The sequence below is a fragment of the Homo sapiens genome, chromosome 18, assembly GCF_000001405.40.
Source record: "Homo sapiens chromosome 18, GRCh38.p14 Primary Assembly".
Lineage (NCBI taxonomy): Eukaryota > Metazoa > Chordata > Mammalia > Primates > Hominidae > Homo > Homo sapiens.
In genome coordinates this window covers 40,107,312-40,122,556 of record NC_000018.10, presented here as the reverse complement: position 1 = coordinate 40,122,556, position 15,245 = coordinate 40,107,312, and the positions used below count along the sequence as shown (strand labels likewise).

At 39.6% G+C, this 15,245-nt stretch overlaps 1 annotated feature.

Moving 5' to 3' along the window:
- Positions 629-1,828: an enhancer, noted in NCBI's record as "P300/CBP strongly-dependent group 1 enhancer chr18:37700693-37701892 (GRCh37/hg19 assembly coordinates)". NCBI's record gives its function as "activates an origin of replication core promoter dependent on BRD2, BRD4, P300/CBP, MED14 and CDK7 cofactors, with strong dependence on P300/CBP, by STARR-seq in HCT116 cells {active_cell/tissue: HCT116}" and the evidence as "EXISTENCE:reporter gene assay evidence [ECO:0000049][PMID:35650434]".

The window sequence follows — 15,245 nt, the reverse complement described above, 5'->3', positions numbered from 1 at the left end:
AATTCACTCCTCACAAACACTTAATACCACATTTCTACGATTTACAATCTGATAATATTCAAATACTATTGCTGTATTATGCAGCTCACAATTGCAGATGCGATTCCATAACAGCCTGTCACTTTGGCATGCATTATGTAAGTTGGTATAAAATTGCCTGTCTTAAAACTCTTCTTCAATTGCAACCCAATATCATCGTTTCACACAGAGCTTTGGGAACATTAAAAATTCAGCTTCTTCCCTATTTAGCAAGTTCTGCAAAAGGGAGCAAAACAGACAAACAGATGTTCCCTCTTCTGAGTCCCCAGGAGGTCTGAGGCAAAGTAGAAAGACCCCAAAATGATACAACAGCAATGACACTCAAGATACATTTGTTCAGTTTTTTTGTTGTTGTTGTTTTTAAGAAAAAAAAAAGAAAGGGAAAAGAAAGAAATCTCTTACTGTCTCCTCTGGAAAAGTAGAAATACTCTACATTGGTACTGGTAAATGCTTTTCCACATAGGTGGAATTTTCTAGGAGGTTACCACCTTACAAAACTTCCTCATCTTACAGTTGTTCACCATTTTCTCACATAGTTTTCTGGAAGGTGAGGTGATGTGTGCATTTTGTATCGCTAATAATAGATAGTTTCTCAGAAACTAGAGTGTCAAAAACTATTCCAATTCTACCCCCAATTTGCCCTGATGACAGATCTTTTAACAGGACACACATCTTCCATTCCTCAATTCAGAATATATGGCTGAACACGAATACACCCTCAGGGAAGGTGGTGCAGGGATTCTCATTCATCTTAAGTGGTAAAAGACAGATATAAAACATTTTCCAATTGCAAGTTTTGATAGAAAAGGATAAAAACCAAGGCTTCTGATCTAAACTTAGGAAAGTGAGAAAGGCAGCTATAAAAGGCATAAAATACCATACTGTAAAAGGAAGATAATTTTTTAATAAGATATTATCTGAGCAAGAATGCTGAGTGAGGAAGAAGTCAGAATATCGAGTTTCTAGCACTGGCTCTGTTTCTAAGGAGCCACAGGATCTTGGCCAAGTCTCCTAACCTTGTGGGACTTCGTGGTTGTCATTATTGTTAAGCTAAGGGTATGGGGTACAGAACCTTCCATCTCTGAGCCACTAGGAGGGCTTTGCTGAGGAGCAGACTAGAATATATTACACACTTTAATGTCTTCAGGCTTAAATCAATGAGAACTTAAAAAGGAAAATAGTGAAGGTAACATAGAGAGATAATACATATAGACAGATGGTTTGCCAATTAGTCATTAAGATTTTTTCCTTTTTTCTCCCTTCTTGCTTTGCTGTCCTCTGCCTTTGAAGATGACTGTGTTAATGCAGCTGACTCTCCACGTTTGGGTGTGGCTGAGAAGATGAAAGAAGGCTACAGGATGTAGTTCCCTTTCCTGAGCAGGCTTGTTGGGGAGGATCAGTCTTTCCTGCTCCCACTTTGCTTTACGCCCCTGGTTATTCAGAGACCAGATAATCCTTAGTGACAGCAGTTGACCACTTCCACAAGACTTCAGAGAAATACACCCAGCTCCCATTTCTAAGAAGAGGGATTTCTCTGATGGTTTGGGAATGATTTCCTCCTTTTGTGAGGCTGCAGCTGCAAGGGAGACAAGGGGAGAAGGCTGCAGCTGCATTCTGAAGGTTTCTCTAAAGAACAAGCAGGGGCAAGGAATTAATAGTTTAAAGCCAAATCAAACCAAAATGCAACAAACTAAAAACCAAAAAAACCCCATAACTTGAGAAGGGTGAAAATTTGACTTTATTTCTTTCTAAGTTTACCTGAAATTATCTACATTGTTTGCAAATGTAGATAAATGCATTGTCTACAAAGATTTTCATAATTGGGCATTTTTCTATTTTTGGTGCTCAGCTTACTTACTTAAATGCATTGGTAAAATTGACCACTTACTGGGATTTGAGTATTCATCCTGAAGTGATCCAAATCCTTTCACTGTAATCTGCATCGGCAAAATACCAAATACAACAGATTGCTTCCAGAATGCTGGCCTCAATATTCACATGTCTTATAGTAGAAAGAGAGAGTCCTGGACTGGATGGGAGGAACCCAATATTCTAGCATTGCCTTTTCCCCAACCAGTTATAAATATGGGTGAATCACATTGCCTTGGAGATCCTGAGTCTTTGCTCTATAAAATAAGGGGGCTGATGTATTTGGCTCTTGAGAGACTCGTCAGTACCAGGGTTTAATCTTTACCATTAACAGTCTAATTAGCTTCCATGTTTCCTCCTGCACAAATATGCTAGGCCTTGCATTCTCTACTACACAACTTCATTGTTTTAAGCTGGAGGCAATTAGAAAAATAAACTGCTTTGGGGTGGAGCCAAGATGGCTGAATAGGAACAGCTCCAGTCTACAGCTCCCAGCGTGAGTGACACAGAAGATGGGTGATTTCTGCATTTCCAGCTGAGGTACCAGGTTCATCTCTCGGGGGAGTGCTGGACAGTGGGTGCAGGACAGTGGGTGCAGTGCACTGTTCGTGAGCTTAAGCAGGGCGAGGCATTGCCTCACCCGGGAAGTGCAAGGGGTCAGGGAATTCCCTTTCCTAGTTGAAGAAAGGGGTGACAGACGGCACCTGGAATATTGGGTCACTCCCACCCTAATACTGTGCTCTTCCAATGGGCTTAACAAACGGTACACCAGGAGATTATATCCCGCACATGGCTCGGAGGGTCCTACGCCCACGGAGCCTCACTCATTTGCTAGCACAGCAGTCTGAGATCAAACTGCAAAGCGGCAGCGAGGCTAGGGGAGGGGCATCCGCCATTGCTCAGGCTTGAGTAGGTAAACAAAGTGGCCGGGAAGCTCAAACTCAGTGGAGCCCACCACAGCTCAAGGAGGCCTGACTGCCTCAGTAGGCTCCACCTCTAGGGGCAGGGCACAAACAAAAGACAGCAATAATCTCTGCAGTCTTAAATGTCCCTGTCTGACAGCTTTGAAGAGAGTAGAGGTTCTCCTAGCACGCAGCTTGAGATCTGAGAACAGGCAGACTGCCTCCTCAAGTGGGTCCCTGACCCCCGAGTGGCCTAACTGGGAGGCATCCCCCAGTAGGGGCGGACTGACACCTCACACGGCCGGGTACTCCTCTGAAACAAAACTTCCAGAGGAATGATCAGGCAGTAGCACTTGTGGTTCACCAATATCCACTGTTCTGCAGCCACCGCTGCTGATACCCAGGCAAAAAGGGTCTGGAGTGGACCTCCAGTAAACTCCAACAGACCTACAGCTGAGGGTCCTGATTGTTAGAATGAAAACTAACAAACAGAAAGGACATCCATACCAAAAACCCATCTTTACATCACCATCATCAAAGACCAAAGGTAGATAAAACCACAAAGATGCAGAAAAAACAGAGCAGAAAAACCAGAAACTCTAAAAAACAGAGCGCCTCTCCTCCTCCAAAGGAACACAGCTCCTCACCAACAATGGAACAAAGCTGGAAGGAGAATGACTTTGACGAGTTGAGAGAGGAAGTCTTCAGAAGATCAAACTACTCCGAGCTAAAGGAGGAAGTTTGAACCAATGGCAAAGAAGCTAAAAACTTTGAGAAAAAATTAGACGAATGGCTAACTAGAATAACCAATGCAGAGAAGTCCTTAAAGGACCCGATGGAGCTAAAAACCAAGGCATGAGAACTACATGACGAATGCAAAAGCCTCAGTAACCGATGCGATCAACTGGAAGAAAGGGTATCAGTGATGGAAGACAAAATGAGTGAAATGAAGTGTGAAGAGAAGTTTAGAGAAAAAAGAATAAAAAGAAACGAACAAAGCCTCCAAGAAATATGGGACTATGTGAAAAGACCAAATCTACATCTAATTGATGGACCTGAAGGTGATGGGGAGAATGGAACCAAGTTGGAAAACACTCTGCAGGATATTATCCAGGAGAACTTCCCCAATCTAGCAAGGCAGGCCAACATTCAAATTCAGGAAATGCAGAGAACACCACAAAGATACTCCTTGAGAAGAGCAATTCCAAGACACATAATTGTCAGATTCACCAAAGTTGAAATGAAGGAAAAAGTGTTAAGGGCAGCCAGCGAGAAAAGTCGGGTTCCCCACAAAGGGAAGCCCATCGGACTAATAGCTGATCTCTTGGCAGAAACTCTACAGGCCAGAAGAGAGTGGGGGCCAATATTCAACATTCTTAAAGAAAAGAATTTTCAACCCAGAATTTCATATCCAGCCAAACTAAGCTTCAAAAGTGAAGGAGAAATAAAATACTTTACAGACAAGCAAATGCTGAGAGATTTTGTCACCACTAGGCCTGCCCTAAAAGAGCTCCTGAAGGAAGCATGAAGCATGGAAAGGAACAACCGGTACCAGCCACTGCAAAAACATGCCAAATCGTAAAGTCCATCAAGGCTAGGAAGAAACTGCATCAACTAAAGAGCAAAATAACCAGCTAACATCATAATGACAGGAACAAATTCACACATAACAATACTAACCTTAAATGTAAATGGGCTAAATGCTCCAATTAAAAGACACAGACTGGCAAATTGGATAAAGAGTCAAGACCCATCAATGTGCTGTATTCAGGAAACCCATCTCATGTACAGAGACACACATAGGCTCAAAATAAAGGGATGGAGGAAGATCTACCAAGTAAATGGAAAACAAGAAAAGGCAGGGGTTGCAATCCTAGTCTCGGATAAAACAGACTTTAAACCAACAAAGATCAAAAGAGACAAAGAAAGCCATTACATAATGGTAAAGGGATCAATTCAACAACAAGAACTAACTATCCTAAATATATATGCACCCAATACAGGAGCACCCAGATTCATAAAGCAAGTCCTTAGTGACCTACAAAGAGACTTAGATTCCCACACAATAATAATGGGAGATTTTAACACCCCACTGTCAACACTAGATAGATCAACGAGACAGAAAGTTAAGAAGGATATCTGGGAATTGAACTCAGCCCTGCACCAAGCAGACCTAATAGACATCTACAGAACTCTCCACCCCAAATCAACAGAATATACATTGTTTTCAGCACCACACAACACCTATTCCAAAATTGACCACATAGTTGGAAGTAAAACACTCCTCAACAAATGTAAGAGAAAAGAAATTATAACAAACTGTCGCTCAGACCACAGTGCAATGAAATTAGAACTCAGGATTAAGAAACTCACTCAAAACTGCTCAACTACATGGAAACTGAACAACCTGCTCCTGAATGACTACTGGGTACATAACAAAATGAAGGCAGAAATAAAGATATTCTTTGAATCCAACGAGAACAAAGACACAACATACCAGAATCTCTGGGACACATTCAAAGCAGTGTGTAGAGGGAAATTTATAGCACTAAATGCCCACAAAAGAAAGCAGGAAAGATCGAAAATTGACACCCTAACATCACAATTAAAAGAACTAGAAAAGCAAGAGCAAACACATTCAAAAGCTAGCAGAAGGCAAGAAATAACTAAGATCAGAGCAGAATTGAAGGAAATAGAGGCACAAAAAACCCTTCAAAAAATCAAGGAATCCAGGAGCTGGTTTTTTGAAAAGATCAACAAAATTGTTAGACCACTAGCAAGACTAATAAAGAAGAAAAGAGAGAAGAATCAAATAGACACAATAAAAAATGACAAAGGGGATATCACCACTGATCCCACAGAAATACAAATTGCCATCAGAGAATACTATAAACACCTCTACGCAAATAAACTAGAAAATCTAGAAGAAATGGATAAATTCCTCGACACGTACACCCTCCCAAGACTAAACCAGGAAGAAGTTGAATCTCTGAATAGACCAATAACAGGCTCTGAAATTGAGGCAATAATTAATAGCTTACCAACCAAAAAAAGTCCAGGACCAGATGGATTCACAGCCAAATTTTACCAGAGGTACAAGGAGGAGCTGGTACCAATCAATAGAAAAAGAGGGAATCCTCCCTAACTCATTTTATGAGGCCAGCATCATCCTGATACCAAAGCCTGGCAGAGACACAACCAAAAAAGAGAATTTTAGACCAATATCCTTGACGAACATTGATGCAAAAATCCTCAGTAAAATACTGGCAAACCAAATCCAGCAACACATCAAAAAGCTTATCCACCATGATCAAGTGGGCTTCATCCATGGGATGGAAGGCTGCTTCAACATAACGAAAATCAATAAACATAATCCAGCATAGAAAGAGAACCAAAGACAAAAACCACATGATTATCTCAATAGATGCAGAAAAGGCCTTTGACAAAATTCAACAATGCTTCATGCTAAAAACTCTAAATAAATTAGGTATTGATGGGACGTATCTCAAAATAATAAGAGCTATCCATGACAAACCCACAGCCAATATCCTACTGAATGGACAAAAACTGGAAGCATTCCCTTTGAAAACTGGCACAAGACAGGGATGCCCTCTCTCACCACTCCTATTCAACATAGTGTTGGAAGTTCTGGCCAGGGCAATCAGGCAGGAGAAGGAAATAAAGGGCATTCAATTAGGAAAAGCGGAAGTCAAATTGTCCCTGTTTGGAGATGACATGATTGTATATCTAGAAAACCTCCTTGTCTCAGCCCAAAATCTCCTCAAGCTGATAAGCAACTTCAGCAAAGTCTCAGGATACAAAATCAATATGCAAAAATCACCAGCATTCTTATACACCAATAACAGACAAACAGAGAGCCAAATCATGAGTGAACTCCCATTCACAATTGCTTCAGAGAATAAAATACCTGGGAATCCAACTTACAAGGGATGTGAAGGACCTCTTCAAGGAGAACTACAAACCACTGCTCAAGGAAATAAAAGACGATACAAAAAAATGGAAGAACATTCCATGCTCATGGGTAGGAAGAATCAATATCGTGAAAATGGCCATACTGCCCAAGGTAATTTATAGATTCTATGCCATCCCCATCAAGCTACCAATTACTTTCTTCACAGAATTGGAAAAAACTACTTTAAAGTTCATATGGAACCAAAAAAGAGCCCAAATTGCCAAGTCAATCCTAAGCCAAAAGAACAAAGCTGGAGGCATCATGCTACCTGACTTCAAATTATACTACAAGGCTACAGTAACCAAAACAGCATGGTACTGGTACCAAAACAGAGATATAGACCAATGGAACAGAACAGAGCCCTCAGAAATAATGCCACATATCTACAACTACCTGATCTTTGACAAACCTGACAAAAACAAGCAATGGGGAAAGGATTCCCTATTTAATAAATGGTGCTGGGAAAACTGGCTAGCAATACGTAGAAAGCTGAAACTGGATCCCTTCCTTACACCTCATACAAAAATTAATTCAAGATGGATTAAAGACTTACATGTTAGACCTAAAACCATAAAAATCCTAGAAGAAAACCTAGGCAATACCATTCAGGACATAGGCATGGGCAAGGACTTCATGTCTAAAACACCAAAAGCAATGGCAACAAAAGCCAAAATTGACAAATAGGATCTAATTAAACTAAAGAGCTTCTGCACAGCAAAAGAAACCACCATCAGAGTGAACAGGCAACCTACAGAATGGGAGAAAATTTTTGCAACCTACTCATCTGACCAAGGGCTAATATACAGAATCTACAATGAACTCAAACAAATTTACAAGAAAAAAACAAACCCATCAAAAAGTGGGCGAAGGATATCAACAGACACTTCTCAAAAGAAGACATTTATGCAACCAAAAAACACATGAAAAAATGCTCATCATCACTGGCCATCAGAGAAATGCAAATCAAAACCACCATTAGATAGCATCACACACCAGTTAGAATGGCAACCATTAAAAAGTCAGGAAACAACAGGTGCTGGAGAGGATGTGGAGAAATAGGAACACTTTTACACTGTTGGTGGGACTGTAAACTAGTTCAACCATTGTGGAAGTCAGTGTGGCGATTCCTCAGGGATCTAGAACTAGAAATACCATTCGACCCAGCCATCCCATTACTGGGTATATACCCAAAGGATTATAAATCATGGTGCTATAAAGTCACATGCACACGTATGTTTATTGCGGCACTACTCACAATAACAAAGACTTGGAACCAACCCAAATGTCCAACAATGATGGACTGGACTAAGAAAATGTGGCACATATACACCATGGAATACTATGCAGCCATAAAAAATGATGAGTTCATGTCCTTTGTAGGGACATGGATGAAGCTGGAAACCATCATTCTCAGCAAACTATCGCAAGGACAAAAAACCAAACACGCATGTTCTCACTCATAGGTGGGAACTGAACAATGAGAACACATGGACATAGGAAGGGGAACATCACACACTGGGGCCGGTTGTGGGCTGGGGAGAAGGGGGAGGGATAGCATTAGGAGATATACCTAATGCTAAATGATGAGTTAATGGGTGCAGCACATTAACATGGCACATGTATACATATGTAACAAACCTGCACTTTGTGCACATGTATCCTAAAACTTAAAGTATAATAATAATAATAATAAAAAGAAAAATAAACTGCTTCATTGTAAGTAAAAAGTAAAAGCTGAACAAGCATACGTATGAAGAAATCTTAAGACCCAGGAATTTTCTTAGAAGTCATAACTGACATTAGGCTTGGCCATTTAAATTGTCTTGAGTAGACCATTTAAGAGTGCACTGTAGGAAATGTTAAAGTTAAGATGAATAAGACATTAGGAGCTCAAAGATTTTATTTTCAAATTTTTGACTTCAAAGATTCCAGTTTAAAACCATGTAAAAATCACTTTTTGTTGATATTTAAGATAGAAGTTTTTCACCAGCCTCTTCAATAAAGATAGAATTGAAGATACAGTGGCAATCTGAAACAACTCTGACATATATAGAAACCAAGAATATGCAGAAAAATCAATAGAGGTGGAGAAGGATAGAGTCAATAAGGTTCTTGATAGCCTCAAGGGCAGATTCAAATGAAGAGTTGAACAATCGTTTGCTAAATCTAATAAAAATTAATGACAGTATTTCCATTCTCTGTACATTTATCAATTCACTTAATAAATAAGTAGCTGTTAGGAAAATGCATGAGATACTAAGGATATATGAGTGAACAAGATACATCCATGAGATTGACCCCTGTCCTCAAGAACTACATAATTTAACAGAGAATGTAGTCAGTGAGCAAGTAATTTCGAGTATAATGAGAGTTATGAAAGGGTAAGGGGGGCAAACTAACTTAATCACAAAGACAGAGAAGTACCTTAAGAAATGTCCTGTAACAAATATCCTTTAACTTGAAAACTTACAGATGGGTAGGGGTAAGACAGGCATTGGTCAATAATTGCTACCCGCCTATGAATGTCTCGCCTTGGCTGCAGCTGGAGGCTATGGCTAAGGTAAAATAATGATAATGGTGGGTGAAGATGCCTGGGAACAGTACAAGTGAGGAGGAAGAACTTGAGCAAGAATGCATACAACATAGGATAAATATGTTTTAACCCCCACCCCCTCTGATTAGACATAAAAAAGGAATATAAGAATGACTAAACTAACATTCCCCAGAGAGGTGGGTGGAGCCCCCAATTCCTGAAAAATTGGGGGCTCCACCCACCTCTAATGTATGGGCTTTTCCCAGCTTTGTGGAAATTGGATTGACTAGCCAGGAAGCAAGAGGTGTTAGAATGTAGAATCCAAATAATTAATGTGAGAGGCAAGTACTTTATACATCTGATATGGTTTGGCTCCATGTCCCCACCCAAATCTCATTGTAATCCCCACGTGTCAAGGAAGGGGCCCGGTGGGAGGAGATTGGATCATGGGGGTGGCTTCCCCCATGTTGTTCGCATGATAGTGAGTGAGTTCTCACAAGAGCTGATGGTTTAAGTGTGTGGCACTTTGCCCCTCACTCTCTTTCCTGCCTCCATGTAAGACATGTCTTACTTCCCATTTGCCTTCTGCCATGATTCTGCCTCAGGTTTCCTGAGGCCTCCCAGTCATGCACTGTGAGTCAAGTAAACCTCTTTTCTTTGTAAATTATCCAATCTCAAGTAGTTCTTTATAGCAGTGAGAGAACAGCTAATGCAACATCTAAAAACAAAAATGTACTAAGAACCCCACAATCTAAAGAAAGCCATGGAAAATTGCAGACAGTCTCTCCAGAGTTCATTAAAATTTAGCACAAGTGACCATAGTACAATGCGCATCTACCTCACTATCTTTATCTCACCTAGGCTATAGAAGTAAGCATTGTGATGGGGGAAGAGCCACTCGTTTTGTAACAAATGCCTTGTTCCATTGTCTACATGGAGGTCCAAGAAAATCTCCAGTGAATATGTGAGGTGCTGATGAGAAGAGACTGGATCTCATTTCCAGGTTGTATATCTGCATAGGTGGTCAAATTGATAATCTGATTATGCCAGTGGTAGAAAAGCAAACTGGATCAAAGAGACAGGTGAATAAAGGAAGGGGCAAACATTACTCACACCAGTTGGCTGGGCAAAATAAGCTACCTCTAGGTCAAGTGGACACTGTGGAAGCTAGGCTTAAGACATCTTGCCTGAAGCTTGCACAGCAGAGCTGCCCACTAAGTAAATGCTTCCAAGTTGCAAAAAGTAAGTAAAGCGATTAAAATTATGCCCATTAAGGTAAAGGGACATTTGCCTCTTTACCTAACTTGGGGTAATTTTTATCCCTTTGCCCTGTCCTAGTTCTTGAGACAAAGCTTAAGAGAAAGACAACTGCAAAGGAGTGAAAGGGGCAGTGAATTCTTACATCAGCAATAGCAGAGAAGAGAATTTAGAATCAGATGGGAGATGGAGCTTTTCATGTGGACTCACCAATTTTAATACCTAAAATAGCTAAAATGTTATACAATCTTCCCAGAATGTTACTAAAGATAGGAAAAAGGAGGAGGGCTTCAACATAGCAACATAGTCTCCAACATAGGTTAGGGCCATGATTAGAATAAATAATATCATCTCATCTTATACCCCAGTAGAGTGAAATTCCTTTGTGAAAACGTTGGAATGAATTGTGTGTGTGGTCCCCAGCCCAAATTGCATACCACTTTCTGTCAGTCTGTTGCTGTAATTTTGAATTCAGCTACTTTCGTCAAAACACGTAGGGTTTTGAGTACACCTGGGCCCAGAGAATAAGCAATTCTTTTAAGACAAAAAAAACACACAAATATGCAGCAATGCAAGTCTCCCTAGAATGAAGGCATTATTTTACAATAAACACAGAATAAATTTTGCTCTATTCCTCATTTGTGAATAGGATGCTTGCTTTTCCTCAATATAAGCAAAGTGTCCTTAATCCACTCCAACCCCAGGAATGACATTATCTTGAAAGGTGATGTCAAATCTTTGTCTCTAGAGAATAATAAAGTGAACCAAAATAAAATAAAGTAAAACTCTACTTAGTGTATACAATGATAACATTTCTCCTCAGCCTCATCTTGCTCTTGCCATGAGTGGGAGTTGCAGAACCCTGGCAGATTTAAAGAGCTGGGTAGGTGCAGTGCTGAGCACCCTGAAATTGAGACACAGCTCTAGATCAGGGAGTGGAGTATTTATGTCCAGTGAGTGGTATCTGTTGGAAGGAATCTGCAGAGTTCTAAGTGTATTTGTGGTGGCTGAAGTCATGGATGTGAATGATTTTGCCTGGGAAGCAGATATAGAATTTAAAAAGGAGCCTAGGAATTATGTTTAAGTAAATTTCATACTGAACAGTACTATTGTGCTTTTGCTACAACCTATTTTCTCATTTTATTTTTATTATTCCAATATATATATATATAGATAAGACAGATATTTTTAAAACTTTATTTTTAAATTATTTATTTAATTTGTTTTATGAAGACAGAGTTTCTGTCTGTGTCACCCAGAGACAATAGTTTCTCTTTCAGTCACTCGGCTGATGTGCAACGGCACAATCATAGCTCACTGCAACCTCAAACTCCTGAGCACAAATCATCCTCCTAACTCATCCTCCCAAGTAGCTAGGGCTACAGGCAGGCGCCAACACACCCAGCTAATTTTTCACAGAGACAAAGTCTCACTGTGTTACCCAGGCCAATCTCAACTCCTGGGCTCAAGTGATTCTCCTGCCTCAGCCTCCCAAAGTGATGGGATTACAGGCATGAGTCACTGCCCCTGGCTGGGTATGACAGCTATTATTCTTCCTTTTATATATTAGGAAATGGAGGCAGATAATGTTTAAATCTAAGTGGCAGATCCAGAAGGCGAAATCCAGAATCATGTTTCTTAGTCCAATGTCCTGTTCATTACAGCCCAGTCAATTTCTATGTTTTTCCCTGCATCAAGAAAAACATTTAACCTAAATTATATGAATAATAGTTTGAATAGTTAGCAATACCTCTAAAAAGTAGATTGTTAAAGGGAGAAACGTTTCTTTTTTAAATCTAAACCCCCATATATAATGATGATGATATCATATAGGCTCTCACTATGCTTTAACAACCTTAAATACAGAATCATCTTTTGGATTTGATGCATATTCCAGGTCATAATCCTAATGATATGTTACGACACTTTTTCCCATACACCAAAAAATTCATAGGCATTCTAAATATTATCCCCCATCTACTCTCTTTATGAAAGTGATACACTACCTCTAATTAGCCTGAACTCTGTGATTCATTTAGAATATTTCATGAAGCTCTATTTGTTACCAACAGATATGGCACACTCTAGGTGACTGGTCCTATCCCCTCAACCCCAGTGGAAGTCAGCTGATGAGAATTTACATTTAGGTTCATAAAAGAGCCCTGTGTTCATCTTAAGGTTTCTGTTTCTGTTTAGAATTGCAAGTGAAATGCCCTTTTCTCTATCAACTGTCAAATTGTCAAAACACACTGAGCTTGTTTGAAGTTGGGGTATTGGAATGATGGGGAGACCATCTGCTCTCTCTAACATGATGATTCCCCATATTTTGCAGGATGTAATTATTCAGTCCCTTGTACCCAGGCTTTTTCTAAGTCAAGACATTTCAAAATGTCCACTATTAAATGCTTTTCAAATAGGAAGCAGGATTTTATGACCTTGCAACTGCAGGATCGGTGGTTTTATGCTTCCTAGCCTTTGTCAGAATGTGTATGTGCTTCCCCCATGCAGGCTATGCATCAGTTAGTGTTGATTCAGTAAACGAGGTTTTGTTTCATTACCACAGATACTGTGTCTATGGAGGACAGATTGCATTTCCTGATAGAACCTCTTGGTCTTAAAGCACACTTCAGTAGTCCTAGCTCTCATTTGTGGTGTTCAGTATAAAACAAGGAAACTGATTATAAAAGATTCTGCAAGAAATAAGGAGAGAGGTAGACAGTGGCATATAAACAGAGAGCAACTGAGAAATGAAAGTATTCAAAAAGTAATACCTCTTATGAAATATTACTTAGATCACAATTTAGTTAAAAGGGTATTAATGCCCAGAAAGTCTTTGATCTTCTTCTCCCGGAACACAGAGGATGGTCTAGCTTATTGACAGATTTTAGTGGAACATGCTATGACCGAAGTTTACTCCTGGAAGAGAGAAACTCATAAATTTCTGCTCACACAGAGTTTTACAGTTAGGAGGCTCACATAACCTTTATTGACCTTTAGAGAGAGCTGTCAGCCTGCTGTGCCTGATTGTTTGTAGTGCTTTATATAAGACAACATATCTTTAAAGGCGGTACATGTGTCCTCCGACTCTCTATAACACAGATCCTGGTTATAATGAGAATGCCTTGAAATTGCTCGCCTGTGCCATTGTTGTGTCTGGCCCATTAAACCCTGAGCTCATGAAAGAAAGAACGTTACATTTAGTCTCTACCAGGTCAGAGACATATGCTTCCCTAAGAAAAGTTCTGGCTAGAAAGAAGTGATTGATTGGGTGTTTTGAAGTGTTTATACAAACACGTGAACTGGTTACACAGAAATATTGTACCTCTGGCCTGAAGAGACAGTAATGGAGGTGGCCATCTGGCAGCCTGCACCCTGTCTCAAATTTGCTCTTTTGGAGAGATGGTGATAGAGATGAGAGAAGTAGAGGTGACTTTCCTACTAAATAATGTACGGATACAAGATTATTTGTATTTAAGGCAAAGTAACTAGAGGAGTAATTTGCAAACTATTTACTCTTTATTGACCTGTTATTCCTTTAATTCCCCAGTGATGTGGAAATGATTCTTCTAAATATTAGAATAATTGGTTGATGACTTGATGATCTTGAAATGGGTTGATGTGAATTCCATGTGAAACTGGAACATTTTTTGTCTCCACGGAGAAATATAAAATGTTTCAGAGAAATATAAAATTGTATTTGCAAAGTAAGTGATATGGTGTGTGTCTTGAGGGGAATCAATGCTTAGCTGGGGCAGAATCAGGATTATTCTCTCCAACGAATATAATTCTTTCCATGGTTCTAGTACAGCAGAGAATATCAGACGTAACAAAGCACACTCACACAAGGACTCTGGGGTTGGAGAGAGTAGCTGTACCTAAAAAAACAAATTAAGGAGTAATCTTGAGGTACATAACACAGTCCTGGAAGCTGAGTCTGAGAATAACTCAGGGGAGCAGGTGATGATCTTGAAGCAAGGTGCTAGCTGCCCAAGAAAAACCTTCATGGAACAGAAACACAGGGAGAATCAGAAGACCCTGGAAGGCTAGATATCCAGATTTACACAGGGCAGGTTCTCTTCTATTGCCGTGTGGGTCAAGATTCACTCTCTGCAGTTTATTGAGTAAGAAAACAAAATTATATCAGAAACCTCTTGAATCTCATATGTTGTGTGCGTAAGTGTAAATATAAGATAAATATGTTATAACATATGTGTTCTATAGAAAACTATTTAAAATGTATATGGTTTTGGATATATTACTAAAAGGCTTTTCAGGCTAATGTGACTAATTTGTAATTCTAATTTTGAAAAATTTCCAGGATAAAATTATTTGTGGCATAATCTCTGGTGATTATTCATTCTTTCATGTATTGGGATAGACACAGATGAGCATTTTAAGAAAAAAATTCAGTCTTGTTTTAAATTTCTAGTTGGTTTCGCTACAGAAATAAAGGGACCATTTATTTATAAAAAAAATTTATTGTGCAACTTTATTTTCCTAGAGAGGACTATGCTCACATTCTTCACTTCTCACTAGTTAAGTTACAGTACACCTATTATCCGTAAATTTGACAGCCTCAGATTTATATTTGGGAAGTGCCTCTGAAGACGTATGTATCTATGGCTCTAGGATTCTCAAACCTGATTCTTTCACGCACAGAATCACTCAGGAT